This window comes from Homo sapiens, chromosome 1, assembly GCF_000001405.40.
Source record: "Homo sapiens chromosome 1, GRCh38.p14 Primary Assembly".
Lineage (NCBI taxonomy): Eukaryota > Metazoa > Chordata > Mammalia > Primates > Hominidae > Homo > Homo sapiens.
Genome location: NC_000001.11, coordinates 13,104,375 through 13,132,346, shown reverse-complemented (window position 1 = coordinate 13,132,346; position 27,972 = coordinate 13,104,375). Strand labels below are relative to the sequence as shown.

General features: G+C 43.8%; 1 protein-coding gene and 2 pseudogenes across 2 annotated transcripts; 2 read left to right on the top strand and 1 right to left on the bottom strand.

Moving 5' to 3' along the window:
- Positions 1-72: 72 nt before the first annotated feature.
- Positions 73-5,278, bottom strand: PRAMEF36P (PRAME family member 36, pseudogene; annotated as a pseudogene). The gene is made up of 4 exons (NR_111945.1): positions 5,201-5,278; positions 3,243-3,554; positions 2,271-2,846; positions 73-1,320 (listed from the first exon to the last, which is right to left on the bottom strand). The product of NR_111945.1 is annotated as a PRAME family member 36, pseudogene (transcript).
- Positions 5,279-15,492: 10,214 nt separating this feature from the next.
- HNRNPCL2 (heterogeneous nuclear ribonucleoprotein C like 2) lies at positions 15,493-16,859 on the top strand. The gene is made up of 2 exons (NM_001136561.3): positions 15,493-15,554; positions 15,766-16,859. Exon 2 carries the CDS (start codon positions 15,947-15,949, stop codon positions 16,826-16,828), a length of 882 nt encoding a protein of 293 aa, NP_001130033.3. The 5' UTR covers positions 15,493-15,554; positions 15,766-15,946; the 3' UTR covers positions 16,829-16,859.
- On the top strand, positions 26,658-27,972 carry PRAMEF35P (PRAME family member 35, pseudogene; annotated as a pseudogene).

The following is a 27,972-nucleotide window of genomic DNA, read 5'->3' as shown; positions in this document are numbered from 1 at the left end:
CTGAATGACAAAGCAATATTTTTGTCTCCAAAAATAAAAAAATAAATAATGAAATAAAAGAACAAGAATGGGTGGGAATTACTCAAAATGGTCTAATTTTATTTGGCTGCTATGATGTTCCGCAGCTGAACCTCAATCACAGACAAACTAGTGCCTCGTTATTTTTCCATCAGTAACTCAATAACTAGAGATTTCTGATGTATAAATCCCTAAAACAAGTAAATCAATTACAGAGGACACCAGAAAGTTTTCACTGAGGTTCTCTATTTCTGATATTTCTTGGTAATCATCCTTGCAGGGATAACATTCTCATCACTGAAGAATTTTAGTTTCTCTTTCTGACTCTGTAGCTCTCATTGACTCCACCTCAATATTTTCCTCAAGTCTTGCCCCCTGCTCTTAGGATTTTTTCCCTCGCACTGAGCACCTGTCTGAAACAGAGCTCTGTGCTTCCTTTAAGTTGCACATGTGGCCTGGGCACAGTCGCTCATGCCTGTAATCCCAGCACTTTAGAAGGCCGAGGCAGGAGAATCCCATGCGACCAGCAGTTTGAGACCTGCTGGGGCAACATAGTGAAACACTTTCTCAATTTTTTTGTAATAAAAATATTGGAATTATTAAAAAAGGAAATAAGAAAAGAGGAAAATAACTTGCACCTACATACTAGATTTTAGTGTCCAAGGGCCTAGAAGAGAACATTGGATTTCTCTACCCCGCTAGGCACGCCTTCCCTAGCAGCAAAGATGGAGCTCCAGTTCCTCAGACGGTGATGAGCCACAGGACGGGCAGGGGGCGGGGCCAATGAAGATCCTCTTGGGCTGCCTGACTTCCCTTAGTGTACACATCAACTAAGCCCGAAGTGGGGTGAAGATCTCCCAATCGACATGAACCAAGGAATTCAAACTCTCCTCGGGGGCAGGATACATCTCCAGGCTTAACTTGCTCAGCCCACTGGTGTGGCACAGCAGGTCCTTCAGGGCTTCCATAGACATGCAATTTCTGCCAAAGTAGAAGGTGGTGAGCTGGGAGCAGCGGCTCAGGCCAGGCAGGATGGCACTGAGTTGGGAGTAGTGGATCTGACAGCCCTCCAAGATGAGGGTCTTAAGAGTAATTGCTGCCTCTCTCGAGACCCTCGTGTTGGCAGAAACTTTCTCCAGCAGAGCTCCGAGGGGTTCAAGACTGATACAGAACTGCAGCATGTAGCTGAGATTCAGATGCTTTGGGTAAGCGAGGCTTGGGTACTGGTAGAGACACTTCAAGTCCTCTTCCAATAGGTAGCCGCAAGTTAATTCCAAGTTCTCCAAGGGGTTCTAGAGGCACCTGTGGAGATCAAGAAGTTAGTTCTGGGCAATGGTACCAGTTAGATGAAGGTAGTGGGGAATGAACTCAAGGAAAATACCTGCTTCAACCAAACACAAGTTTGTTCCCACCATCTGATGATGGTCCTCATGCAAGTTGCTGCATGTTGAGGACCCTGATCATTCAGGGGCTGTCCCATTTTAGCCTCAGCCCTTTCACCATTTCTTGTGTGATTGGGTCAAGGCCACAAAATCTCTAAAGCCTTTTATCTTCATCTTTTAGCAGAAAACCTCATCTCTGGGCCACAGGTACCCGGTGGGAGATGTGCACAAAGAACTCAACTCAGCAAGGTCTAGGGACATTAGCTGGGGCTACCTGCCGGCAGGGGCTCCCTGGCCTGCCTGCATCTGCAAACCAACTGTCACTTTTTACCACTCTCACTCCTACTCCTTCACCCTCCATCCCAGAAGCATGCATGTCCCATGTCAATTGACTTTCCTGGAGTTCAAAACAACCTTCTACAGACAGGGAATCAGAGACAGGATCATTCATGATCACTAAGCTGGTGAGGACAGAGCTTCTACTGTGAAATGCACAAGTTTGATGCACTGTCCCTCCTTTCATACCCTCCTTTGTTACCTCTTTTACATCATATCAACTTGAAACACACTTTGTAACAAGAAATTCACACGTGCACATGCAGTAGAGACAAAACGCCCACTAAGTACCTTGTACATGATGTCCCTCTCTAGCCTCTACCCTAGGTGACCCCTCTGCCTTTATTGAAGTGATCCTGTGATAGCCACTCCAGGACATGGAGCACTGAACGGGACAATGTGTTGACATTCTGGTGTCCCCTGCACTGTGCCGTCGCCACTGGCTGGCACACAGTACACGTCTTCTAGTGTTTACTGTAACAAAAAAAAAGGCTGCGCTGTGGTCTGCAGAGAAAGGGCACGATCCTTTCTCACCTGATCAGCTGTCCCAGGTGCCCTCTGTGGAAGGTGACCATATTCATTTTAAGCAGCTGGAGGTGTTTCAGCCTGAGGAACATAGAGCTGATTTTGGCGACTGAGCATTCCTCGCGGTAATTGACGTGTAAGGATGGCACCTGGAGAAAAATGAGTTTGCGAAGATTCTTCATCTCCTTCAGGTAACAATGAAGCTTTCTTATCAGATGTGGCCAGGACACATAGCAAATTTCCAGCTCCTGAATACTATTCAGGTGGATTATTTTCAATGATCTTCTGAGATATTCAATCGACGTTAGATAATTCACCAACTTACTACAGCACAGGTGTACTAAACCTCTCCTTTGGTAAACCCACCGGAAGAGGTATCTCAGGCATTCATCCTGGGGTATTTCCTTGAGGCAGATGTCTATGAACACCTTCAAGGGCTGGTGCTCTCCCATCCTTGGACAGTCCTCTGCTGTCTGCCTCTTACTCATGGCCTCTGGGGAGGAGGACAGGGCCCTGGATTCAGACCATATGGCCCAGAAATTCTCATCAACATCCCGCAAATCCAGCACTTGAAGTTTCCACCTCCTGTGGGTAAAGTAAGGCAGAGGCTCAGAACTTTGAAGGACAAATCCCTGACCTTTGCTTTCATTCTCATCCAATAAATCAGCTGCTCCTGTCCTCGCTGCTCCCTGTTCTCTCTGAGTTTTCTTGGTCCCTTTTCTCTTTCAATTCTGACTGGTCCCCACTTCTATTCCATTTACCTTCCACTGGGAATAGGCAAGTTTCTGTTCCCACAGTGGACCCTATATTGTGGGCAGTTCTTTCCCTGAGGATCTGGGCAATGGCCAAGGCATGCCTGAGCTTCGTCACCAGCACCACCAGAAGACACTGGGCCATCCTTGGGATACTTCTTTGCCTGACCCTGCTGTTCTTTCCCTGGACACCTGAGCCCCATCTACCAGCCTTCCTGGGTCACCTCACCTGGGGCGATCCTTCTGTGTAAGCAGCATGTGAAGCCCTTCCAGCAATGCTTTTAAGGTCTCCAGATGAAGCGTCTTCATCAGCGATCCCAGAGGGAGGCGGGTGAAGGGCCAGGCCTGCACCATCACTGTCAGAGTCTGGAAGTGTCTCCTGCTGAAGGCCTCCAGGAAGAGTGGGAGGTAGAGCTCCCTGGGCAGCTCCTCCAGGGCAGAGATGGCCAAGGGCTTGTCTCTCAGCAGACTCTGCCCCGCCAGCTCCAGGAGTCTGGGTGGGGCCTGGATGCTCATCCTGATGAATCTGTAAGGAAAAACTCTAGAAGACAAATCCAGAGAAAAGGCATCACTTTCAGGCCAAACACAATCACCTCATCTTCTCCTAAGGCCAGTAGCATTGCTCTGGTAGAGGTAGAAAAATTACCACTTTACCCCAATTCCACTCTGCACTTGGTGGCCACAAATCTATATTTCTGCTTCTGCTGGTACCAGGAAGAATGTCTTCCAAACACCAAGGAGGGAGGGGTCAAAGAGACCACTGGCCCATTAATTTTCATCCATGGCTCCACTGAATCCCAGTACCACTGGAAAGTGTCACTGAGGATCCTGAAAGCCAAGCTCTACCTCTTTGAGGAAAATTTTCTTGTCACTTACCGCCCTAAAGCAATGAGAATGAGAGTGTCCTGTGGCCCCAGACAGCCTCCATTCTCAGTTTTCACCATGAACATGCTGGGGGAACACTAAAGGGACTCCCTAAAGTCAATGCCATTATTTTTTATTTTGAAAAATTTCAACCAGAAACTGACCGGGTGCTGTGGCTCATGTCTGTAATCCCAGCACTGTGGGAGGCCAAAACAGGCAGATCACTTGAGGTTAGGAGTTCGAGAACAGCCTGGCTTACGTAATGAACTCTGTCTCTACTAAATATAAAAAAATTAAAAATCATTTGACTCCAAAAGGCAGAGGTTGCAGTGAGCCGAGATCCCACCACTGCACTCCAGTCTGGACAAAAGAGTTAGACTCTGTCTCAAATAATAATAATAATAATAATAATAATAATAATAATTAATTAATTAAAATGTTAGCCAGGTGTGGTGGTGCAGTCCTATAATCCTAGCTACTCTGGAGGCAGAGGAAGAAGAATCACTTGAATCCCGGAGGCAGTGTTTTCAGTGAGCTGAACTCAACACCCTGCCCTTCAGCCTGGGTGACAGAGTGAGACTCCATCTCAGAACAAGAGAAAAGAATTAACCAGAAACTAAAAGCGACGTGATGGTATTCTAGAGCATTTGGAAGGTAGGGATAGAAATACTAACTCTAGATGAGGCACAGTGGCTCACTCCTGTAATCCCAGCACTTTGGGAGTCCAAGGTGTGTGTTTTTATTTTGAAAAACTGTAAGAGAAATTATAAAAGCAGTGTTGCAGTAGTCTAGAGCACTTGGAAGGTAGAAATGGAAACACTAAGTCTGAGGAGAAGGATCCAATACACATCCCTTCCACATACTCACAATCACACACTTAGGGACAGAGTCTAAGGGAAGAGATAAATCCCAGGTTCGGAACAAGTCTCTTGAGAATGGTGTACGGGAGATCTAAGATTTCTGTAAAATGAAAGCCTGACTAATAAAATCACAATACCGCTAAGTGTGTGAACTATAGCTGACAGGCACAGAAACCAACAACTTCACATGTCAAGACATAAACATCCATCCAACTGTAAATTTTTAATATTTTTTTTTTAAAAACTGCTTCAATAAGAATTTTGAAATGAGGAAAATGAAGCACAAATCAAAATTTGAGGGATGAAGTCAAAACTATATTTGGAGGAAAAATCAAAACCTACATCTGTTTAATCTGAAAAAACAGACAGGAAATTCTCTGTGCCATTTTGGGCTGTGTGTCACCATCCCTGACTGGCTGGCTGCAGATTAGACGGGCATGTTCCTAAGAAGGTGGTGACTTACCAGATCTGGACTCAGTTTGCAGGGTGCTGGGACCTCTCAGAGAACCAAGCAGTAGCTCCAGGCACCAGGGCTTTGGGTCTGTCCTGTGCAAACTCAGGAGCTTTTGTTGATGTTTCTAACCACACCCTCCCCTTCTCAATCACCAGCTTCCAATCAGAAAGTGATACCTGATTAGATCCTGAAGTTCCACCCAGTTAATCCTGATTGAGTTTCACACTTTCTTCTGATTCATTGATTAAATTAGATGTGCATTTATGAAAGTGAAAGAATAAATAACAGGGTGAAAGTCCAAAAGTCATTAATTCATTTATTCCCCAAACACTGATGAAGTTTGACTAACATGTGACCTTCATAGTGACATGGAAGGTTTAATCTGTTCCTGGCATTAGAAAGAAAAAACAAAACCTGATGATATCTTTATGGGAGAATATTTGGCCACATTGAAATTATCCAAACGTTTCAGAGCTAAGACAGCTTTAAAAAGACGGTGATGTCAACCCTAAGAAAACAGAATACAAAGCTCTGTTATCCAACAGTTACCTGGGTTTTATGCTTCCTAACGGGGCAGGTCATATGTGGGTTCAGGTTGAAGAGGGGAACCACTGAGGGTGTTATTGATCACAAGACTAAGGTCAAGGCTTCACTGCAGGAAATCAGGACAGAATGACAAAGTGAGGTGGGGGCTGGGCAGGATGGGACCGGGTGTTCTAGTAGAACCCTGGGAAGGAACCAAGACAGCATAAAACATGGTGGGTATTTTGTGGGCATCTCCACAGAAGGATTGAAAGACTCTGTCTGGATTGAGTTTAAAAATTAAAAAGGGAATAGTTACAGAAGAGACAGTGCAGACTCTTCAAACACAACATTGTCTTTGAGGGCAGAGAAGGCAGAAACAGTCTTGGCCCCTACTAGAAGGGAAAGCGTGTTTACTCCCAAAAATGATGGGCTCGCCTCAGAAAATCAGCCTGGGAAGATGGAATCTGAGAATCTGAGCTGGGGCAGATGCCAGAGAGAAGCAGTGTGGCCAGACCTGGGAAGGGAGACTTTCCCAACCTGGAAGCCATCGAAGGTGGGAGCTGTGGGTTTTGCAGGATGTGGGAGAAAGTGAACAAGGGTCCAAGTCTCTGTCATGGTGCTATGGTCTGGAAACCTTTCTTTTAGACTCAGGGATCTTCCCACAGTGGGACATTTCCCAGCAACCCTCACCCACAGGTGTTTCCCAGGGCCCCTCATCCTCATCAATACCCTCGTGCCATTCCCCAGCATATTTTGATAATTAATGTTCTGCCATCCTTAAAGTCCTCCCTTGTCCCTGATATTGAACAGAGAGATTCTGATTAAAGTGATACCATTAGGTATACAAAGAAAACTCAGGCCATGTGTGGTGGCTCATATCTCTAATTTCAGCACTTTGGGAGGCCAAGGCAGATAGATTACTTGAGCGCAGGAGTTTGAGACCTGCCTGGGCAACATGGAAAATTCTGTCTATAAAAACTATATACGAAAAATTAGCCAGGCATGGTGGTGTGCACCTGTAGTCCCAGCTGCCCAAGAAGTTTAGATGCGAGGATCACCTGAGCCCAGGAGGTTGAGACTGCAGTGAGCCATCATTGTGCCACTGCACTCCAGCCTGCTCAACAGAATGAAACCTTGCCTCAAAAAAAAGGAAGGAAAGAAGGAAGGAAGGGAGGGAGGGAGGGAGGGAGGGGAGAGAAAAAGACAGAAGGAAACAGAAAGAAAGGTGGAAAGAAAGAAAAAGAAAGAAGAAAGAAAGTAAGAAAAAGAAAGAAAGAAAGAAAAAGAAGGAAAGAAGGAAGGGAAGAAAAAGAAAGAAAGAAGAAAGAAAGAAAGAAAGAAAGAAAGAAAGAAAGAAAGAAAGAAAGAAAGAAAGAAAGAAAGAAAGAAAGAAAAAGAGCGAGCCTTCTTGTCTTTAAGAGCAGCGCATATATACTGTTATATTGGGTGCACACCTAAAATACATTTCCCCCACAAAACCTGGAAGCTCTATTTCATGTTGAAATATCTGCTAAGTTCACGGATGGCTCCCATCCTAAGAGGGATCACACAGTGATTCTTCCGATGTTTTAGGGCACAAAGTAGCAAGAACCTCCCCTGCCTCCAGAAAGTCCTCCAGGCCTTTCTCTCCCATTCTATATGAAAACCAAACAGCTCTGAGATGCCACTGGCCTCCAAAACTGGAGTACTTTGAAGGGTGTTCTCTATCTTGAAATGTTTCTGTAAATGTTCTTTCTCCACATTTCTGACCTCACTGTCAATGCCCTGCTATGTGTGCAATTGAGTTAAACTGAAATGTGTTCAGTGGGGCTTCTACTTTGCCTGCCCTCACTTTGTGAGCCTGAGGCTGAGGTTGAGCTCAGCACCAAGGGTGATCGTGAGTGTCTCTGGTGACTGAGCATCCACGAGGCACAGCAGGGGCTGGTATCATTCATCCAAGATCTCAGCTCTCCCTCACAAATAATCTAAAGCATGTTGGTGACCCTGAGATTTGGCTAGCAAGAGGAATCTGCCCATGTTCAGACAACAAATGATTGGCAGACCCCTCAGGTGAGAGGCTCAGAGGATCCCCTAAGCAGTTCAACAACCTAAATGTTGGAAAAAACTGGCTGACAGACTTTCCATTCTTTCCCAATTCAGAAGGTCCAGCAAGTAGTGGTTGGTCTCAGGAAGATGGAAAATCACAAACAACAGTTAAAAAAAGAAACTAAGCAAAGGAACACTGGCAAGACACTGTGCCAGTGCCCCCCCCTTTCACCAAGAAGGAAGGCCTCCCACTCCTGAGCCCACTGCGCCCAAGCTTCCACAAGGCCTACATACCCCTAGGCTGCCCAGAGTAGAGAAGAAAGGGTGCAAGACCTCAGGATGCAAGACCCTCCCTTGGCTGCCCGTATGAGGCCTAGAACTGGGATACAAATGTCCCTGAGAGAGCAACAGTATACTGGAGTAGACGAGGATGGGCTTATGGTGGAAAGACGTGCCTTTGTGTACCAACCCTTCACCTCTGCCCATCTCCTCCATTGGAAAACAATACCCCATCCTATACCGAAAAGCCTCAAGCTATAATTTATTTGCTCCAAACTGTTATCCAGACCCACAACCCCACCTGGGCTGATTGCCACCAGGTGCTCATGCACCTCTTTAACACAGATGAAAGGTGGAGAGTGCTCCAAGTGGCAACTAAGTGGCTGGAAGAACATGTTCCAGCTGATTACAAAATCCCCGAGGGTATGTGAGGATCCAACTAGCAGGAACAGACCCCCAGTGGGACCCAAATGAAAGACAGGGTATGCAAAGCCTAAACCAGTACAGGGAAGTCCTTCTGGAAGGATTACAGGCGTGAGCTGCCTCACCCGGCCTTGAATGAGTGAATTCTTGACTTCTACCCTATCCCTAACACTGTCAATTTCCTGATTCATGCAATTAATATGGATATCTGATATGAATGGATATCTGATTCAATCCATTAATCTGGGGAGAGCCAAAAACCCAATCAGGATTAACTGGGTGGAGCTTCAGAAATGCAATCAGATATCACTTTTTGATTGGAAGCTAGTGATCCGCCTGCCTTAGTCTCCCAAAGTGCTAGGATTGCAGGCATGAGCCACTGCACCTGGCCGGTATTTTCTGTTTTGTACAAGATGTTCCAGAAAGAAAGGCAAATATGGAAAGTTGTCTAATTCATTTCATAAGAGAGCAGTAACCCATATTTTAAAAATGGCTAAGGATATTAGAAGGAAAGTAAATTTAAACTTATTTGGCAAAAGTTTTTTTTCTTTTTTCTTTCTTTTTTTTTTTTTTTGAGACAGAGACTCACTCTGTCATGCAGGCTGGAGTGCAGTGGCACAATCTCACCTCACTGCAACCTCTTACTCCCAGATTCGAGCAATTCTCCTGCCTCAGCCTCTCTAGTAGCTGGGATTAGAGCCACATGCCACCACATCCAGCTAATTTATGTAGTTTTAGAAGAGGCAGAATTTCTCTGTGTTGGCTAGAACTCCTGACCTCAGGTGATCCACTTGCCTCGGCCTCCCAAAGTGCTGGGATTACAGGCATGAGCCACCACGGTCAGCCAGAAAAAAGTACTTAATAAATTATCAGTTAACTAAATGCAACACTGCATTAGAAAGTGATAGACAGGCCAGGCTCCGTGGCTCATGCCTGCAATCCCAGCACTTTGAGAGGCCGAGGCAGGTGGATCACCTCAGGTCTGGAGTTCGAGACCAGCCTGACCAACATGGAGAAACCCCATCCCTACTAAAAATACAAAATTAGCCAGGTGTGGTGGCGCATGCCTGTAATCCCAGCAACTCAGGAGGCTGAGGCTGGAGATTTGCTTGAACCAAGAAGGTGGAAGTTGCAGTGAGTCGAGATCATGCCATTGCACTTCAGCTTGTGCAAAAAGAGTGAAACTCCACCTTAAAAAGAAAAAAAAAAGAAAAAAAGAAAGCAATATAGTGATATATAATGGCCATTCCAGGAATGCCAGCCAATCACAGGAAAATCTAAGTGTAATTCAGCATACTGACAAACTAAAGGGGGAAAAGCAAGGTTCCTACAAAATGCAGAAAAGAATTGCAGAAAAATCAAATTAAATTTATCATAACATATTTCGGAAACTGAAATGTTGTATGTTGAAAACTTGCATTAAACATCAGATGTAATGGATAAACATTAGCTCCCTTCCTACTGAGATATGAAACAAGGTAAGAACCTCAGCACCTTAGGATTTGGACGCACGTAGGTATTTTGGTTAATAGTAAAGACTCCAGATCCAGCAGACCCAGACTGCTTAATTTAGGTTCAAAACTGGCTCAGTACCATCCTGGCTAACACGGTGAATCCCCGTCTCTACTAAAAACACAAAAATTAGCCGGGCATGGTGGCAGGTGCCTGTAGCCCCAGCTACTCGGGAGGCTGAGGCAGCAGAATGGAGTGAACCCGGGAGGCAGAGCTTGCAGTGAGCTGAGATCGCGCCACTGCACTCCAGCCTGAGCGACAGCATGAGACGCTGTCTCAGAAAAAAGAAAAAAAACTGGCTCAGTGGCCAATGGCTGTGTGGTCTTACTCAACTTACTTAACCTCTCTGTGCCTTAGCTCATTCACATATAAAATGGGATAATAGCAATATTGACTTCACAGAGTGCTATAAATTAATCTATTTAAGTACTTCGAGCTGGATTTGACATAGGGCAAGCAAGGATATTTTTATTGTTATTATATTTGAAAAATATATTAGTTACAAACTTAGGTAAGAGACCAAGGCCTATGGTAAAGGTGATTATAAGCCTTCATACACCACTGTTGTTCTGAAAATCTTAATTATAACAAGGCCAGGCACGGTGGCTCACGTCTGTAATCCCAGCACTTTGGGAGGCCAAGGTGGGCGGATCACCTGAGGTCAGGAGTTCGAGACCAGCCTCACCAACATGGCGAAACTATCTCTCTACTAAAAATACAAAAAATAGCTGGGCATGGTGGTGGACACCTGTAATCCCAGGTATTCGGTAGGTTGAGGCAGGAGAATCACTTGAATCCAGGAGGCAGAGTTTGCAGTGAGCCAAGATTGAACTATTGCTCTCCAGCCTGGCGAGAGAGTGAGACTCCATCTCCAAAAAAAAAAAAAATTATAAGAACATGTCCATTCACTCTCCAAAGTATCTAGGACTGGACAATTACTTGTCAGGCCCTCTTCTGTAGCACCATACACTATAGCATATATGTGGATTAATATAAATACACATACAAAATTCAAGTATATATTCTATATACTTTCTATATATTTATATTCTAAGAGGTCACATGCAAATTCAAGGCTAGGTCAAAGAGTAGAGTGGCTATCTATGGAAAGGGGAGTGGAAGTGAATCATGGTAATAAAAAAAGGTGTAGATATAGTTATGGATAGGTAGACATACACACATATAGCGGCAAGAAAAGGGAATGTCATGGACCAGTGATGACAGTGAGCCATGTAAAAAGGCTACAATTTTTGTGATTGTGTGTCCATTTTCAGGATTGGTTGTAGCTTACCTTTTTAGAAAGGCTGATGCCATAGTCATAGTGAATAAATGATTATAAAATGTGTTTCCTTTCTGGCGAACCTCTGGAGAAATTTCCAATGGTAGGAGAACTCAGTTTACTGGGCAGGCGATCACACAGATAAGATTTTACAGATCTAATGGCACTACCATTAACTTCATTATCATTGGTATTCTACAAAGGTTGAGTGAATAAATGGTATCTTAAAATTAAATTAGCTAAATTAACAAAAAAGATTGGATTACTTTTTCTTTTTTTTGACACAGAGTCTCTGATGCCCAAGCGGGAGTACAGTGGTGCTATGTCAGCTCACTGCAACATCTGCCTCCCGGGTTCAAGAGATTCTCCTGCCTCAGACTCCTGAGTAGCCAGGATTACAGGCACACACCACCACACCCAGCTGATTTTTGTATTTTTAGCAGAAACGGGGTTTCACCATGTTGACCAGGTTGGTCTTGAACCCCTGACCTTGTGATCTCCCTGCCTCAGCCTCCTGAAGTGCTGGAATTATAGGCTTGAGCCACCTTGCCCAGCCTAATCTTTTTTTCTTTTCTCAAAGGACTTCTATGCACTTAGGAGAGTGAGCCCATCGTTCAGTAACAACATGATTCAATACTGCAAGACCTTGATGCAGTATTTCAAAGTCTTTCCAGTAGGTGAGGGAGGCTTTCAGTGATGCTTAGACCTTCATGCCCTAGAATTTGGAGATTGCATCCTTTAGAAATGATACCAAGGGAAATCTGCCCATGAGCAGCACTGGATGGGACTGTACCAGATGACTTAAAACTAAGGATAACCAAGGAAAAGCCTTCCTTAGAAGCAGACATCATCACATGGTAGACAGTTTTCCAAGACAATGGAACAAGACTCCATTTGATCTTCTTCCATTGACTGAGACTTGGTTTTGTTTTGTATTAAAACAAAATGCTCAAACCTATATTTTATGTTGTTAGGTACTTTCTCCACTCAAACCAAACACTTTCTAAGGTCTTCTGTTCAAAATGTAGCCACTCTCACTAACCAAAGCAATTGCTGGCTATGGAGTCATTTACATGAAAGGGAAGGATCACAACTAAATAGTAGAACATGCTCTCATAAACAGTTGGGTAGCAATTGAGGATGCCAACTTCATGATAAGGTTTGTTATCCTTCCTTTGGAAGGTTGGTTAACATTTATAATTACATGACTTGGCACTGAGAAGAAGCTATAGGTGCAAATGGGTGGCCTATGACTATTATTGATTACATTACTGGCATTTTATCTCTATGCATAAAAAACATTAGTGAAACTGGATCTAATCTAGGTAGTGTCGCAGATTCCCACTAGAATCAAACTCTTTGGTTTGACACACCTTATGAAGACTGGAGTGCTATAGGTATCGACATAGACATAGAATCAGAACATGACCATGTTACCCTCTGCCATTTAATCAGAGAACTTACTGAAACTAGACATTGGTTCATTGGAAACTCTAGAGGCAAATAGAATGTGTCTATAGCTCTACTATGTGAAATACATAATAGTTTTATTTATTGGATGCATCAATACTCAGGACATATTTGGAGAGGAACCTATTCATTCTTCAATGCAGATGGCATGCAAGGATTACTTTATAAAACTCATAGAAATACTTTTTCTTCCCACCCCAATTCAAACCATTACCATGCAACCTGGTATCAATAGAAGTTAAGGCCATTGAGGTAGAAATAATTAAATAAAGCTTTATTGGAAGCTAAATGTGAGAATCGACCTGGAAGACACACACTGACAAAGTGAGTGTTTTCCAAAGTCTGTTACAAGTTGGAATGCTTTTGTAAGAGAGGTTAAAAGAAGGGAATGGGACTCCTCCTATCAATTTTTTTTAATTTTCTTTTGTTTTATTGACCTGGCAAGGCTCAAATAGAGTTGAGTTTTTGTTTTTGTTTTTCCCATTGGAAGGTACAAGACAGAGGTTACAATCGTTAGCTTTAGATGACAACATAACAGGCTAAAACATTTTCCTTGCAAGACAACCAGCATGACTTCATGATCAGAATAAAATCAGTGTCCTTCTCACTGTCAGCGGGTGAAGACTTCATCAGTACTTGTAGAGTTTGAGGTACTCATGAACTCATGATCAGATTCTTTACTCAGGGACAGGATGTAAGCCAATGCTAAGACCTTCTATAGGTGGCTAATTTTTAAGCTTGCCCCAATGAGACCTTCAGGTTTTCACTGGCAATATGCAGGTGCAGATATGACAAAGAATAACAATGACCTTCATATCACCTCCAGCTGTTGAGGAATGGGATCCTTTTCACCCTTCCTGTCCATAAAACCAAGTTACTCATCTTCAGTGGCAACAAAATATATGGTAAACTTAACAGAGAAGGAGACTGTCAGAAAAAAAAAAAAAAAAGATGTGTTTATCCTGAAATGAGGAAAGCAATGGGAATAGATGTGAGATTATTTTGGGAGAAAAAGGAAGACAAAGGTTTTGAAAGGAAAAATAAGGAGGATTATACAAATTGTTTTGAAAGACTCAACCTTGGTCCTAAGAATCAAAAGTAAAGGGGCATCAGTGAAATGTTGGATAGATTCCACCTCCACCCCCTCAGTAACCCCCAACATGTTTACCAAGTCTTGGTTAACTCCCAGGATCCCATTAAAACACCCAGCTCAACCATGCCCATCCTCTACCCTCACTTCTCTTTGTAATTTTGACATGATTTTATTACAGGACCATCAGGTTCCTATGCCTGCTGCACAGTAGCTGACCAATATTCTGAGACAGCAGTGTTTGCAGCAGACAGTTTAATGATCACAGGGTGGCTAAATGAGAAGCTAGGAGGATATCCTCAAATTCATCTCCCCAAGTAGTACTGAGGGTTTCCAGTGGATCCTGGATAGCAAGGGGCTGGAAAGTTGGTGTAGAGGTAAGAGGGATGAAGTCATCAGGATGTCAAAACTGCATTCTTTGGTGAGTTGGTGCCTTGCAGAGCCCTTCAGATCAGCTGGCATCAGTAGTTTCACTGACATGCAGAACCTGAAAGAATATCTCAAATGAGAAAGTTAATGTTTTACAAGGCTTAAATTGTTGTCTGCAGGGTAGTTAAGGGGAACTGTAAGCTAAGGTCTACTTGATTTGGGGACAGTAAGCTGCCAGCAACCATGAGGAAGAAGGTCAGAGAGCAAGCTGACCTCATGGTGAATGCTGAATGCGCTGCAAGCTTGGTTTATTTTTGTTTCTCCCCCTCCCTTCTTCACTGATTAAACTTATAAAGTTTACAGGTATCATTTCAATTTCTTCCAGAGAAGACTTAACCTAAGCCCTGAGACCACTCAAGCCCTCAGTGGCACCTCTCTTCCACCAGCACGAGTGAAGAAACTGCTACCTTAGGTGATATAAAACCCACAAGACCATTCCATACATGGAGATCTTTATTCTTATTTTGTAGGGACGACTCCTCTGTGTTTATACAGCTATTTTAACTAGAAATATTTTTATAAATTTTATAATTTTGATGTGGCCAAAGATCTCCCCACAACACTACTTTCAGGTTTTATTTTTCTGTCTAATGTCTGGAACAGATCAACCCCTTCCCTGCCTCACATCAGGACTTGAAGGCGAAATAGCAGTAAAATTCCATCAGTGTTTGTGGATTTCATGAATGAATGCATTTTTTTTGACAAAATCTCCCTCTGTCGCCCAGTCAGGAGGGCAATGGTGTAATCTTGGCTCACTGCAAACTCAGCCTCCAGGGTTCAAGGGATTCTCCCACCTCAGCCGCATGAGTAACTGGACTACAGGCAGCCACCATCGTGCCTGGCTAACTTTTCTATTTTTGTAGAGACAGGGTTTCACCATGTGGGCCAGGCTGGTCTTGAACTCCTGACCTCAGGTGATCCACCTACCTTGGCCTCCCAAAGTGCTGGGATTACAAGTGTGAGCCACCTCACCTGGCCTTGAGTGAATGAATTCTTGATTTCCACTCTATCCCTAACTCTGTCAATTTCTTAATTCATAAAATGATTATGCATATGTGATATGAATGGATATCTCGTTCAATCCATTAGTCTTCGGACAGTCAAAAACCCAATCAGGATTAACTGAGTGGAGCTTCAGAAATGCAATCAGATATCGCTTTTTGATTGGAAGCTAGCAGCGGATACGTGGAGGGGCGTGGGTGGGAGTTGTGATTAGAAAGGTCAATAAAAGCTTCTAAAGACCCACAGGACAAACTCAAAGTCTTCAAGCCTGGAGTTCCTGCTTGGCTCTTCCTGAGGTCTGAGCACCTTCTAAACTACAACCAGATCTGGTAAGTCACTAATTTCTGTAAGGACACTCCCATGTGACCTACAGTCAGCCGGTCTAGAACGGTGACAGTGCAGCCTACGATGGCATAGAACTATATCATGTCTTTTTTTCTTTTTTTCATATGAACACTTTGAAGCTTTGATTTTTTTTTCTAAATGCAATTTTGTCGTGATTTCAAAAATGTTGTTGTGCTTTTCTTTACATCATTTCAGAATTCTTGTTGGCAGCCATTTTGTGAAGAGACGAAGACTGAGCTGTTTTGGCTGCATTTCTGGCCTCGAGCCGCAGTCAGTTTCTCCCCGTAGAACCCGGCAGTAGGAGACTTAGAATCGAATCTCTTCTCCCTCCCGCCTCCTGTTTTTGGCTTTTTGAGAAACCTTATCATCCAACACAATGGCCAGCAACGTTACCAACAAGATGGATCCTCACTCCGTGAACTCCCGTGTGTTCATTGGGAATCTCAACACTCTTGTTGTCAAGAAATCTGATGTGGAGGCGATCTTTTCCAAGTATGGCAAAATTGCGGGCTGCTCTGTTCATAAGGGCTTTGCCTTCGTTCAATATGATAAGGAGAAAAATGCCCGGGCTGCTGTAGCAGGAGAGGATGGCAGAATGATTGCTAGCCAGGTTGCAGTTATTAACCTGGCTGCAGAGCCAAAAGTGAACCGAGGAAACGCAGGTGTGAAACGATCCGCAGCGGAGATGTACGGCTCCTCTTTTGACTTGGACTATGGCTTTCAACGGGATTATTATGATGGGATGTACAGTTTCCCAGCACGTGTACCTCCTCCTCCTCCCATTGCTCTGGCTGTAGTGCCCTCGAAACGCCAGCGCATATCAGGAAACACCTCACGAAGGGGCAAAAGTGGCTTCAATTCTAAGAGTGGAAAGCGGGGATCTTCCAAGTCTGGAAAGCTGAAAGGAGATGACCTTCAGGCCATTAAGCAGGAGTTGACCCAGATAAAACAGAAAGTGGATTCTCTCCTGGAAAACCTGGAAAAAATTGAAAAGGAACAGAGCAAACAAGAGGTAGAGGTGAAAAATGCTAAGTCAGAAGAGGAGCAGAGCAGTAGCTCCATGAAGAAAGATGAGACTCATGTAAAGATGGAGTCTGAGGGGGGTGCAGAAGACTCTGCTGAGGAGGGGGACCCACTGGATGATGATGATAATGAAGATCAGGGGGACAACCAGCTTCATTTGATCAAGAATAATGAAAAAGATGCTGAGGAAGGAGAGGATAACAGAGACAGCACCAATGGCCAGGATGACTCTTAAGCACATAGTGGGGTTGAGAAATCTTATCCCATTGTTTCTTTACCTAGGAGCTTGTCTAACAACAAATTTTTCACCAGATCCTCTCCCTTAGTATCTTCAGCACATGCTTACTGTTCTCCCCATCCTTGTCCTTCCCACATTCATTAATTCATATTGCCCTGCGCCTAGTCCCATTTTCACTTCCCATGACACCCCTAGTAGTTTTCCTAAGTCTTACCCTGTAATTTTTGCTTTTAATTTTGACACCTCTTTATGACTTAACAGTAAAAAGGATGTATGGTTTTTATCAACTGTCTCCAAAATAATCTCTTGTTATGCAGGGAATACAGTTCTTTTCTTTCATACATAAGTTCAGTAGTTGCTTCCCTAACTGCAAAGGCAATCTCATTGAGTTGAGTAGCTCCTGAAAGCAGCTTGGAGTTACAAGTATGTGTGTTACACCCCATATTAGTGTGCTGTGTGGGGCAGTTCAACAAAAATCTAACAATGTATTTTTGTGAATGAGAGTTGGCATGTCAAATGCATCCTCAGAAACATAATTGGTGTTATAGTCTTCAAATGTGTTTTCTAAAGTTGATACCGTGGGTTATTTTTGTGAACAGCTTGATGTTTGGGACCTTTTCCCTGAAAATAAACAACTCTTTATTAAACCAGCAATTTAAAGAAAAAAAATTCTTGGTGGGAGCAATGACTCATGCCTGTAACTACAACACTTTGGGAGGCCAAGGTGGGAGGATCGTTTGAGCGCAGGGGTTCGAGACCAACCTGAGCAACATGGCAAAACCCTATCTCTACAAAACATTTGTTTTGAGGGGCGGGATGGAGTCTCACTCCGTTACCCAGGCTGGAATGGAGTGGCACAATCTCAGCTCACTCCAACCTCTGCCTCCCAGGCTCAAGCGATTCTCATGCCTCAGCCTCCTGAGTAGCTGGGATTATAGCCACCCACCCCCATGAGCAGCTCATTTTTATATTTTGGATAGAGACGGCGGTTCACCATGTTGGCCAGGCTGGTCTCAAACTCCTAACCTCAAGTGATCCACCTGCTTTGGCCTCCCAAAGGGCTGGGATTACACCAGTGAGCCACCAATGCCCTGCCTCTTTTTTAAAAAATTAGATGGGCATGGTTGAAGGGGAGCAGCCTCTCCATACCTGTGGGTATATCGCATCAGGTGGGATGACAGACTGTGAAAAGAAATAAGACACAGAGACAAAGTATGGAGAAAGAACAGGGGGCCCAGGGGACCGGCGCTCAGCATAAAACGTGAGCAAAGGAATCTGTGTCACAAATGAGTTCAAGGGAAGGTACTCTGCCTGGATGTGCATGTAGGCCAGATGTATGCTTCTCTCCACCCAAACATCTCAGTGGAGAAAAGAATAACAGAGCAGCATTGCTGCCAACATGTCTCACCTCCCAACACAGGACAGTTTGTCTCCTATCTCAGAATAGAACAAATCTACAATTGGGTTTTATACCGAGACATTCCATTCCCAGGGACAGGCAGGAGACAGAGGCCTTCCTCTTATCTCAACTGCAAGAGGCCTTCCTCTTTTACTAATACTCCTCAGCACAGACCCTTCACGGGAGTTGGGCTGGGGGATGGTCAGGTCTCTCCCATCCCACAAGGCCATATCTCAGGCTATCACATGGGGAGAAACCTTAGACAATACCCGGCTTTCCAGGGCAGAGGTCCCTGTGGCTTTCCACAGTGCATTGTGCCCCTGGTTTATCGAGAATGGAGAATGGCGATGATTTTACCAAGCATATTGCCTGTATACATATTGTTAACAAGGCACATCCTGCACTGCCCTAGATCCCTTAAACCTTGATTCCATACAACACATGTTTTTGTGAGCTCAAGGTTGGGGCAAAGTTACAGATTAATAGCATCTCAGGGCAAAGCAATTCTTCAGGGCACAGGTCAAAATGGAGTTTCTTATGTCTTCCTTTTCTACATAGACACAGTAACAGTCTGATCTCTCTTTCTTTTCCCTACACATGGTGGCATGCATCTGTAGTCCCAGCTACTTGGGTGGCTGAGGTGGGAGAATCCCTTGAATCCAGAAGATTGATGCTGCAGTGAGCCATGCTCACACCAGTGCTGTACTCCAGCCTGGGCAGCAGAGTCAGACTGTTGAAAAAAAAAAATCTTAATCAAACAGTTAAAAAAGTGCAATTAATTGTAATCAGTAGGCAGATCCCAAATTCCCCAAAAAAGGAGAGAAAGAGAGTTTAGAAGGCTCTACATGCTAGCATCCCATTCAGACTGTTTAATCCTACCATTGTGGTTTTGTAAGAAAAACAGTCTTAAAGATTTCCAATAATTCTCACTATGGCCATAAATTATCCTGGGTGTCATTTTCCCATCAACTTAAAAAGGCACGTGAGAGGCCGGGCACGGTGGCTCACACCTGTAATTCCAGCACTTTGGGAAGCCAAGGCAGGTGGAACGCCTGAGATCAGGAGTTTGAGACCAGCATGGCCAACATGGAGAAACTCCATTTCTACTAAAAATACAAAAAATAGCCGGGCGTGGTGGTAGGCATCTGTAATCTCAGGTACTTGGGAGGCTGAGGCAGGAGAAACAGTTGAACCCGAGAGGTGGAGGTTGCATTGAGCCAAGATAGCACCTTTGCACACCAGCCTGGCCACAGAGCAAGACTCCATCTCCAAAAAATACTACTAATAATTATAACAGCATGTCCATTCACTCTCCAAAGTGTCTGGGACTGGACAATTAATTGTGAGGCCCTCTTCTCTAGCACCCTACGCTATAGCATATATGTGGATTAAAATAAATACACATAAAAATGCAAGTATATATGCTATATACTTTCCATATACTTATATTATATAAGGTCACATGCAAATTCAAGGCTAGGTCAAAGAGTAGAGTGGCAATATATGGAAAGGTGAGTGGAAGTGAATAATGGTAATAAAAGGAAACAGATAGATATAGATATAGATATGAATAGGTAGACATACACATATATAGCTGCAAGAAAGGGGGTTGTCATGGACCAATGATGACAGTGAGCCGTGTAAAAAGGCTAAAATTCTTGTGATTGTGTTTCCATTTTCAGGATGAGTTGTAGCTTACCTTTTTAGAAAGGCTTATGATGCAGTCATAGCAAATAAGTGATTATAAAATGTGTTTCCTTTCTGGGCAATTCTGGAGAAATCTCTAATGGTATGAGAATTCAGTTTACTGGGCAGGTTATCACACATAAAATTTTACAGACCCAATGACACTAGCATTAACTTCATTATCCTTGGTATTCTATAAAGGTTGAGTGAACAAATGGTATATTTAAACTAAAATTAGCTAAACTGACAAAGAAAACTGGATTATTATTATTTATTTTTGAGACAGAGTCTCTGTTGCCCAGGCTGGAGTACAGTGGTGCTACCTTGGCTCACTGCAACCTCTGCCTCCCAGGTTCAAGGAGTTTTCCTGCCTCAGCCACCTAAGTAGCTGGGATTACAGGCACACACAACCACACCCAGCTAATTTTTGTATTTTTGGCAGAAGCGGGGTTTCACCATTTTGGCCAGGTTGGTCTTGAACCCCTGACATCGGGATCTGCCTGCCTCGGTCTCCTAAAGTGCTGGGATTATAGGCGTCAGCCACCACACCTGGCCGAATCTTTTTTTCTTTTCTCAAAGATGTTGTCATAGTATTGGGTTCTATGCACTCAGGAGAGTGAGCCCATCATTCAGTAACAATATGAATCAATACTGCAAGACCTTGATGCAGAATTTCAAAGACTATTTCCAGTAGGTGAAGGCTTTCAGTGATGCTTAGATCTTCCTGCCCTAGCATTTGGAGATTGCATCCTTTGGAAATGACACCAAGGGAAATCTGCGCATGAGCAGCAATGGATGGGACTGTACCAGATGACTGAAACGTAAAGATATCCGAGGAAAAGCCTTCCCTAGAAGCAGACATCATCACATGGTAGACAGCTTTTCCAAGACAATGGAACAAGACTCCATTTGATCTTCTTCCATTGACTGAGACTTGGTTTTGTTTTGTATTAACACAAAATTCTCAAACCTGTATTTTATATTGTTAGGTACTTTCATCACTCAAACCAAACACTTTCTAAGGTCTCCTGTTCAAAATGTAGCCACTCTCACTAACCAAAGCAATTGCTGGCTATGGGGTCATTTAGATGAAAGGGAAGGATCACAGATAATAGTAGAACCTGCTCTCATACACAGTTGGGTAGCAATTGAGGATGCTAACTTCATGATAAGGTTTGTTATCCTTCCTTTGGAAGGTTGGTTAATATTGATAATTAAATGACTTGGTACTGAGAAGAAGCTATAGGTGCAAATGGGTGGCCTATGACTATTATTGATTTCATTACTGGTAATTTATCTCTATGCCTAGAAAACATTAGTGTAACTGGGTCTAACCTAGATAGTGTTCCAGACTCCCACTAGAATCAAACTCTTTGGTTTGACATGCATTATGTAGATGGGAATGCTATAGATATCGACATAGACATAGAGTCAGAACATGACCATGTTACCCTCTGCCATATAATCAGAGAACTTACTGAAACTAGGCATTGGTTCTTTGGAAACTCTAGAGGCAAATAGAATGCATCTATAGCTCTACTGTATGAAATAATAGTTTTATTTATTGGATGCATCAATACTCAGGATATATTTGGAGAGGAAACTATTCTTTCTTCAATGGAGATGGCATGCAAGGATTACTTTATAAAACACACAGAAATATTTTTTCCTCCCACCCCAATTCCAACCATTACCGTGCAACCTGTTGTCAATAGACGTTAAGGCAGTTGAGGCAGAAATAATTAAATAAAGCTTCATTGGAAGCTAAATGTCAGGATCGACCTGGAAGACACACACTGACAAAATGAGCGTTTTCCAAAGTCTGTTACAAGTTGGAATGCTTTTATAAGAAAGGTTGAAAGAAGGGAATGGGACTCCTCCTATCAGTTGTTTTTTTTTTTTAATTTTCTTTTGTTTTATCCTGGCAAGGCTCTAATAGAGTTGAGCTTTTTTGTTTTTGTTTTTTCCATTGGAAGGGACAATACAGAGGTTACAATCATTGACTTTAGATGACAACATGACAGGCAAAAATATTTTCCTTGCAAGACAACCAGCAAAACTTCACGATCAGAATCAAATCAGTGTCCTTCTCACTGTCACTGGGTGAAGCCTTCATCAGTACTTGAAGAGTCTCAGGCACTCATGAAGTCAAGATCAGATTCTTTACTCAGGGACAGGATGTAAGCCAATCATAAGACCTTCCACAGATGATCAATTTGGAAGTCTACCTAATGTGACCTGCAGGTTTTCACTGGCAATATGCAGGTGCAGATATGACAAAGAATAATCCTGACCTTCATATCGCCCCTAGCTGATGAGGATTGGGATTCTTTTGTCCCTTTCTCTCCATAAAACCAGGTTACTCATCTTGTGTGGCAACAAAATATATGGTCTACTTAACAGAGAAAGAGACTCCACAGGAAAAAAAAAAGGATTTTTATTATGAAATGAGCAAAGCCATGGGAATAGATGTGAGATTATTCGGGGAGGTAAAGGAAGACAAAGGTTTTGAAAGGAAAAATGAGGAGAATTACATAAATTTTTTTGAAAGACTCATTCTTGGTCACAAGTATGAAAACCAAGGGAGCCTCAGTGCAGTGTTGGAAAGATTCCTCCTCCACCCTCTCAATAACCCCCAACACATTTACCAAGTCTTTGTTCACTCCCAGGATTCCATTAAAACACCCAGCTCAACCCTGACCAGCCTCCACCTTCACTTCCCTTTGTAATTTTGACATAAATTTGTTACAGGACCATCAGGTTCCTATGCCGGCTGCACAGTAGCTTACCAATATTCTGAGACAGCAGGATTTGCAGCAGAAAGTTTAATGATCACAGGGTGGCTGAATGAGAAGCTGGGAGGAGATCCTCAAATTCATCTCCCCAAGGAGTACTGAGGGTTTCCAGTGGATCCTGGATAGCAAGGGGCTGGAAAGTTGGTGTAGTTTGATGGCAATAAGAGGTATGAAGTTATCACGATGTCAGAACGGCATTCTTTGGTGAGTTGATGCCTTGCAGGGCCCTTCAGATCAGCTGGCATCAGTAGTTTCACTGACATGCAGAACCTGAAAGAATATCTCAAATGAAAAACTTAATGTTTCACAATGCTTAAATTGTTGTCTGCAGCGTAGTTAAGGGGAATTGTAGTCTAAGTTCTACACGATTTTGGGACAGTAGGCTGCCAGCAACCATGAGGAAGCAGGTCAGAGGGCAAGCTGACCTCCTGGTGAATGCTGAATGCGTTTCAAGCTTGGTTTGTTTTTGTTCCTCCCCCTCTCTTTTTCACCGATTAAATTTATAAAGTTTAGAAATACGGTTTCAATTTCTTCCAGACAAGCCTTAACCTAAGCCCTGAGACCACTCAAGCCCTCAGTGGCACCTCTCTTCCACCAGCATGAGCAAATAAATTGCTACCTTAGGTGATATAAAACCCACAAGACGATTCGATACATGGAGTTTTTTTTCTGATTTTGTAGGGATGACTTCTTTGTTTCTATAAAGCTGTTTTAACTATAAAACAATTTTATAATTTTGATGTGGCCAAAGATCTCCCAACACTACTTTCAGGTTTTATTTTTCTGTCTACTATCCAGAACAGATCAAACCCTTCCCTGCCTCAAACTCAGGACTATATAGGTCATATATCAGTAAAATTCCATCAGTGTTTGCGGAGTTCATGAATGAATGAATTCTTTTTTTTTTTTTTTTTTTTTTTTTTTGTGACAAAGTCTACCTCTGTCACCCAGAACGGTGTGCAATGGTGCAATCTTGGCTCACTGCAACCATTGCCCCCTGGATTCAAGCGATTCTCCCACCTCAGCCTCCTGAGTAGCTGGATTACAGGCACCTGCCATCATGCCAGGCTAATTTTTGTGTTTTTGTAGAAATGGGGTTTCATCATGTTGGCCTTGCAGGTCTTGATCGCCTGACCTCAGGTGATCCAGCCAACTTGGACTCTCAAAGTGCAGGGATTACAGGTGTGAGCCACCTCACCTGGCCTTTAATGAGTGAATTCTTGATTTCCACCCTATTCCTAACACTGTCAATTTCTTGATTCATGAACTTAATATGGATAGCTGATATGAATGGATATCTGATTCAATCCAGTAATCTGGGGACAGCCAAAAACCCAATCAAGATTAACTGGGTGGAGCTTCAGAAATGCAATCAGATAGCACTTTTTGATTGGAAGCAAGCACTGGATAGATGGAGGGGTGTGGGTGGGAGTTGTGATTAGAAAGATCGATAAAAGTTTCTGAAGGCCCACAGGAGAGACCCAAAGTCTTCAAGTCTGGAGTTCCTGCTTGGTTCTTCCTGAGGTCTAAGCACTCTGCAAACTCAGTCCAGATCTAGTAAGTCACTCATTTCTGGAAGGACACTCCCATCTGACCTATAGTCAGCCGGTCTGGGACGGGGGCAATGCAGCCTATGATGGCACCGAGCTATATCTGTCTTTTATATATATATATATGAACAATTTGAAGATTTGAATTTTTTCCTCTATATGCAGTTTTGTCTTTATTTCAAAAAATTGGATTGTGCTTTGGTTTATGTCATTTCAAAATTCTTGATGGGAGCAATGACTCATGCCCATAACCTCAACACCTTGGGAGGCCAAAGCGGGAGGATCATTTGAGCCCAGGGGTTTGAGACCAACCTGGGCAACATGGCAAAAATGCAGCTCTACAAAACATTCTTTTTTTGAAGCAGGGATGGAGTCTCACCCTGTTGCCAAGGCTGGAGTGCAGTGGCAAGAGCTCAACTCACTGCAACCTCTTCCTCCCAGGCTCAAACAATTTTCATGTCTCAGCTTCCTGAGTAGCTGGTATTACATCCCTCTGCCACCATGTCTGCTTAATTTTTGTATTTTTAGTAGTGGTGGGGTTTCACCATGCTGGCCAGGTTGGTCTCAAACTCCTGACATCAAGTGATCCTCCTGCCTAGGCCCCCAAAAGTGCTGGAATGACGGCCGTGAGCCAATGGTGGTCAGCCTCTACAAAATATATATATCTTTTAATTTGCCAGGCATGGTAGCATGCATCTGTATTCCCAGCTATTTGGTTTGCTGACATGGGAGAATCACTTGAGCCCAGAAGATTGAGGCTGCAGTGAGCCATGCTCACACCACTGCTGTACTCCAGCCTGGGCAACAGAGTAAGACCCTGCTAAAAACAAAAACGAAAACAAACAAACAAAAAACCTTAACCAAAGAGAATCTTTGACCTTAATTTTAAACCAATCACATCCTCACTGTAATTCTTCCTCCCGAATGGAGACATGGGTGTGAGGGTGCATGCCTGTAATCCCAGCTACATGGAAGGCTGAAGCATGAGAATTGCTTGAATCTCAGAGGCGGAAGTTACAGTGAGCTGAGATGGAGCCGCTGCACTCCAGCCTGGGCGACAAAGTGAGACTCAGCTTCACCCACACCAAAAAAAATTAGATTATACCACCCAGGTGATCACTGGATACATGAAGATTTCTATTGTGTGTTATTGGGGACTGTCAACTCCGTCTTTGAAAACTGTTTTAACTCTGAAATATTTTGATAAATTTGATGTGGCCAAGGATCCCTCAACAAAGATACTTTCAAGTTTTCTTTCTTTCTGTCTAATATCAGGAAGAGATTCAACACTTCCCTATCTCACACTCAGGACTATGAAGGACACATATTAGTAAACCTCCATGTTTGTGGAGGGAATCAGTGAATGAGTCCTGGACTTTCACCCTATCCCTAAATCTTTCACTTTCATGGATGAATATCTAATTCAATCAGTTAATCTGGAAGAAAGCCAAAAATCCAATCAGGATTAACTGGGTAGAGTTTAAGAAGTCGAATCAAATGTAGTTCTCTCTCTCTCTCTCTCTCTTTTCTTTTCTTTTTTTTTTTTTTTTTTTTGAATCTAGCCTATTTCACAGGCTGGAGTGCAGTGGTGTATTGTCAGCTCACTGCAACCTCTGCCTCCTGGGTTCAAGTGATCCTCCTGCCTCAGCCTCCCTAGTAGCTTGGACTATAGGCGCAGACCACCGCACCTGGCTAATTTTTCTAATTTTGGTAGAGGTAGGGTTTTACCATGTTGGCCAGGCTGGTCTCAAACTCCTGACCTCAGATAATCCACCTGCCTCTGCCTCCCAGAGGGCTGGGATTACAGGTGTGAGTCACTGCACACAGCCAAAGTGGTTCATTTTGAATATGTGTGAGAGGTGTGTATTGGAAACATCTGTGTCTTGCCAATGATGCATAACACTGTCACATAGCTTTCAAAGCTTCTTGCTGAAATTTTCAATAATGAGACCAGGCAGAGGCTCATGCCTGCAATCCCAGCACTTTGGGAGGCCAAAGTGGGTGGATTGTTTGAGTCTAGGAGTTCAAGACCAGCCTGGACAACATAGTGAAACCCACTGTCTTTACAAAAAGTCAAAAAATAAAAGATTAGCTGGGTACGAGATCTGAGCTTCAGAGATCCTCGGTAACATTTGCCAGTGCTATGAGTTTAGTGGATCAGTGGCTAATAATTCATGGACTACGAGGGATCTTGCCTGCTCTTTAGAAGTTGGGACACATTCTTCATGGTACCAGAAGGGTAGAACTATGTCTCTGTGGCCACTTATTGCAGAAAGGAACTGGAGTAAACTGAGGGCTCTTTCACACATGCTAGAGAAATGACTTGGGCCCTGGGAGAATTGGGGGTTGCAGGGGATTGGTCGGAGGAACTTGCCTTTTTGCTGGATTGTGCTGTAGAGTTTTTCCTTGTAGATTTGTCAGAATGAGCCTCCAGACCCCATCCAGACTCCTGGAGCTGGCAGGGCAGAGCCTGATGAGGAAGCAGTTCTTGACTATCTTCACCCTGGACTAGCTGCCCAGGGAGGTCTCCCCTCTGACGTTCATGGAGGCCTTCAGCATGAGATGTTGTGAGGCCCTGAAGCTGATGGTGCAGGCCTGGTCCTCCCTTCACCTCCCTCTGGGATCCCTGATGAAGACAACTCATCTGGAGACCTTGCAAGCTGTGCTGAAGGGACTTGATACACTAGTGTCCCAGAAGGTTTGCCCCAGTTGAGGTGACTCAGGTGGCCTGGTGGGAAGGGTCCAGGCATCCAGGGAAGGGACAGCTGGCTCAGGAGGAGTGGCAGTGTGTGGGAGCTAGGGTGGCTCAGAGGCTTCTGATGGTACCCATGAGAGGCCTTGGCCATTGCCCAGATCCTCTGGAAAAGGACTGCTCACCATACAGAGTCCACTGAGGAAACAGGAACCTGCTTCCTCCCAGTGGAAGGTAAAGGTACTAGAAGTGGGTACCATGCAGAATCCAAGGGGGAACAGGATGGAGAAAAGACAGAAGGAGGAGCACTGGGACAGGAGCAGCTGACTCATGTCCTGGATGTGGAGTGAAAGTTCAGGTCAAGGGTCGGTCCTCGCCTACATTCTGAGCTTTTCCCTTATGTTACTCACAGGAGGTGGAAACTTCAAGTGCTGGATTTGAGGGATGTTGATGAGAATTTCTGGACCATATGGTCTGGAGTCAGGGTCCTCCCCTGCTCCCCAGAGGCCATGAGTAAGAGGCAGACAGTGGAGGACTGTCCAAGGATGGGAGAGTGCCAGCCCTTGAAGGTGTTCATAGACCTCTGCCTGAAGGAAAGTACACTGGATGAATGCCTGAGCTACCTCTGAAGGTGGATCCACTACAGAAGAGGCCTAGTGCACCTGTGTTGTAGTAAGGTGCAGAATTACTCAATGCCCACTTCAAGTTTCAGAAATCTATTGGAAAGGATATACCCAGACAGTATCCAGGAGTTGGAAGTCTGGAAAAAGTGCTCTCTCAATAAAACGGGAAAGTTTGCCCCTTACCTGAGCCAGATGAGCAATCTTCGCAAACTTTTTAGCCTTCGGTTATGAGCCTGAATTATACGTGAGCGGCCAATGGCAGTTCATTCCTGACTTGGATTGGCCATTCCTGTGCCTGTACTACCCCCAGATGCATTATATAAGAAAGGTCAGTAATATCAAAGAGCACCTGGAGCACCTGCTCAGGTAGGAAACGATGGTGGGCTTTCTCTGCAG

Bases quoted from the DNA above. Each gene is read 5' to 3' on its own strand.
- HNRNPCL2 (NM_001136561.3), top strand. From the start codon at position 15,947: ATGGCCAGCAACGTTACCAACAAGATGGATCCTCACTCCGTGAACTCC.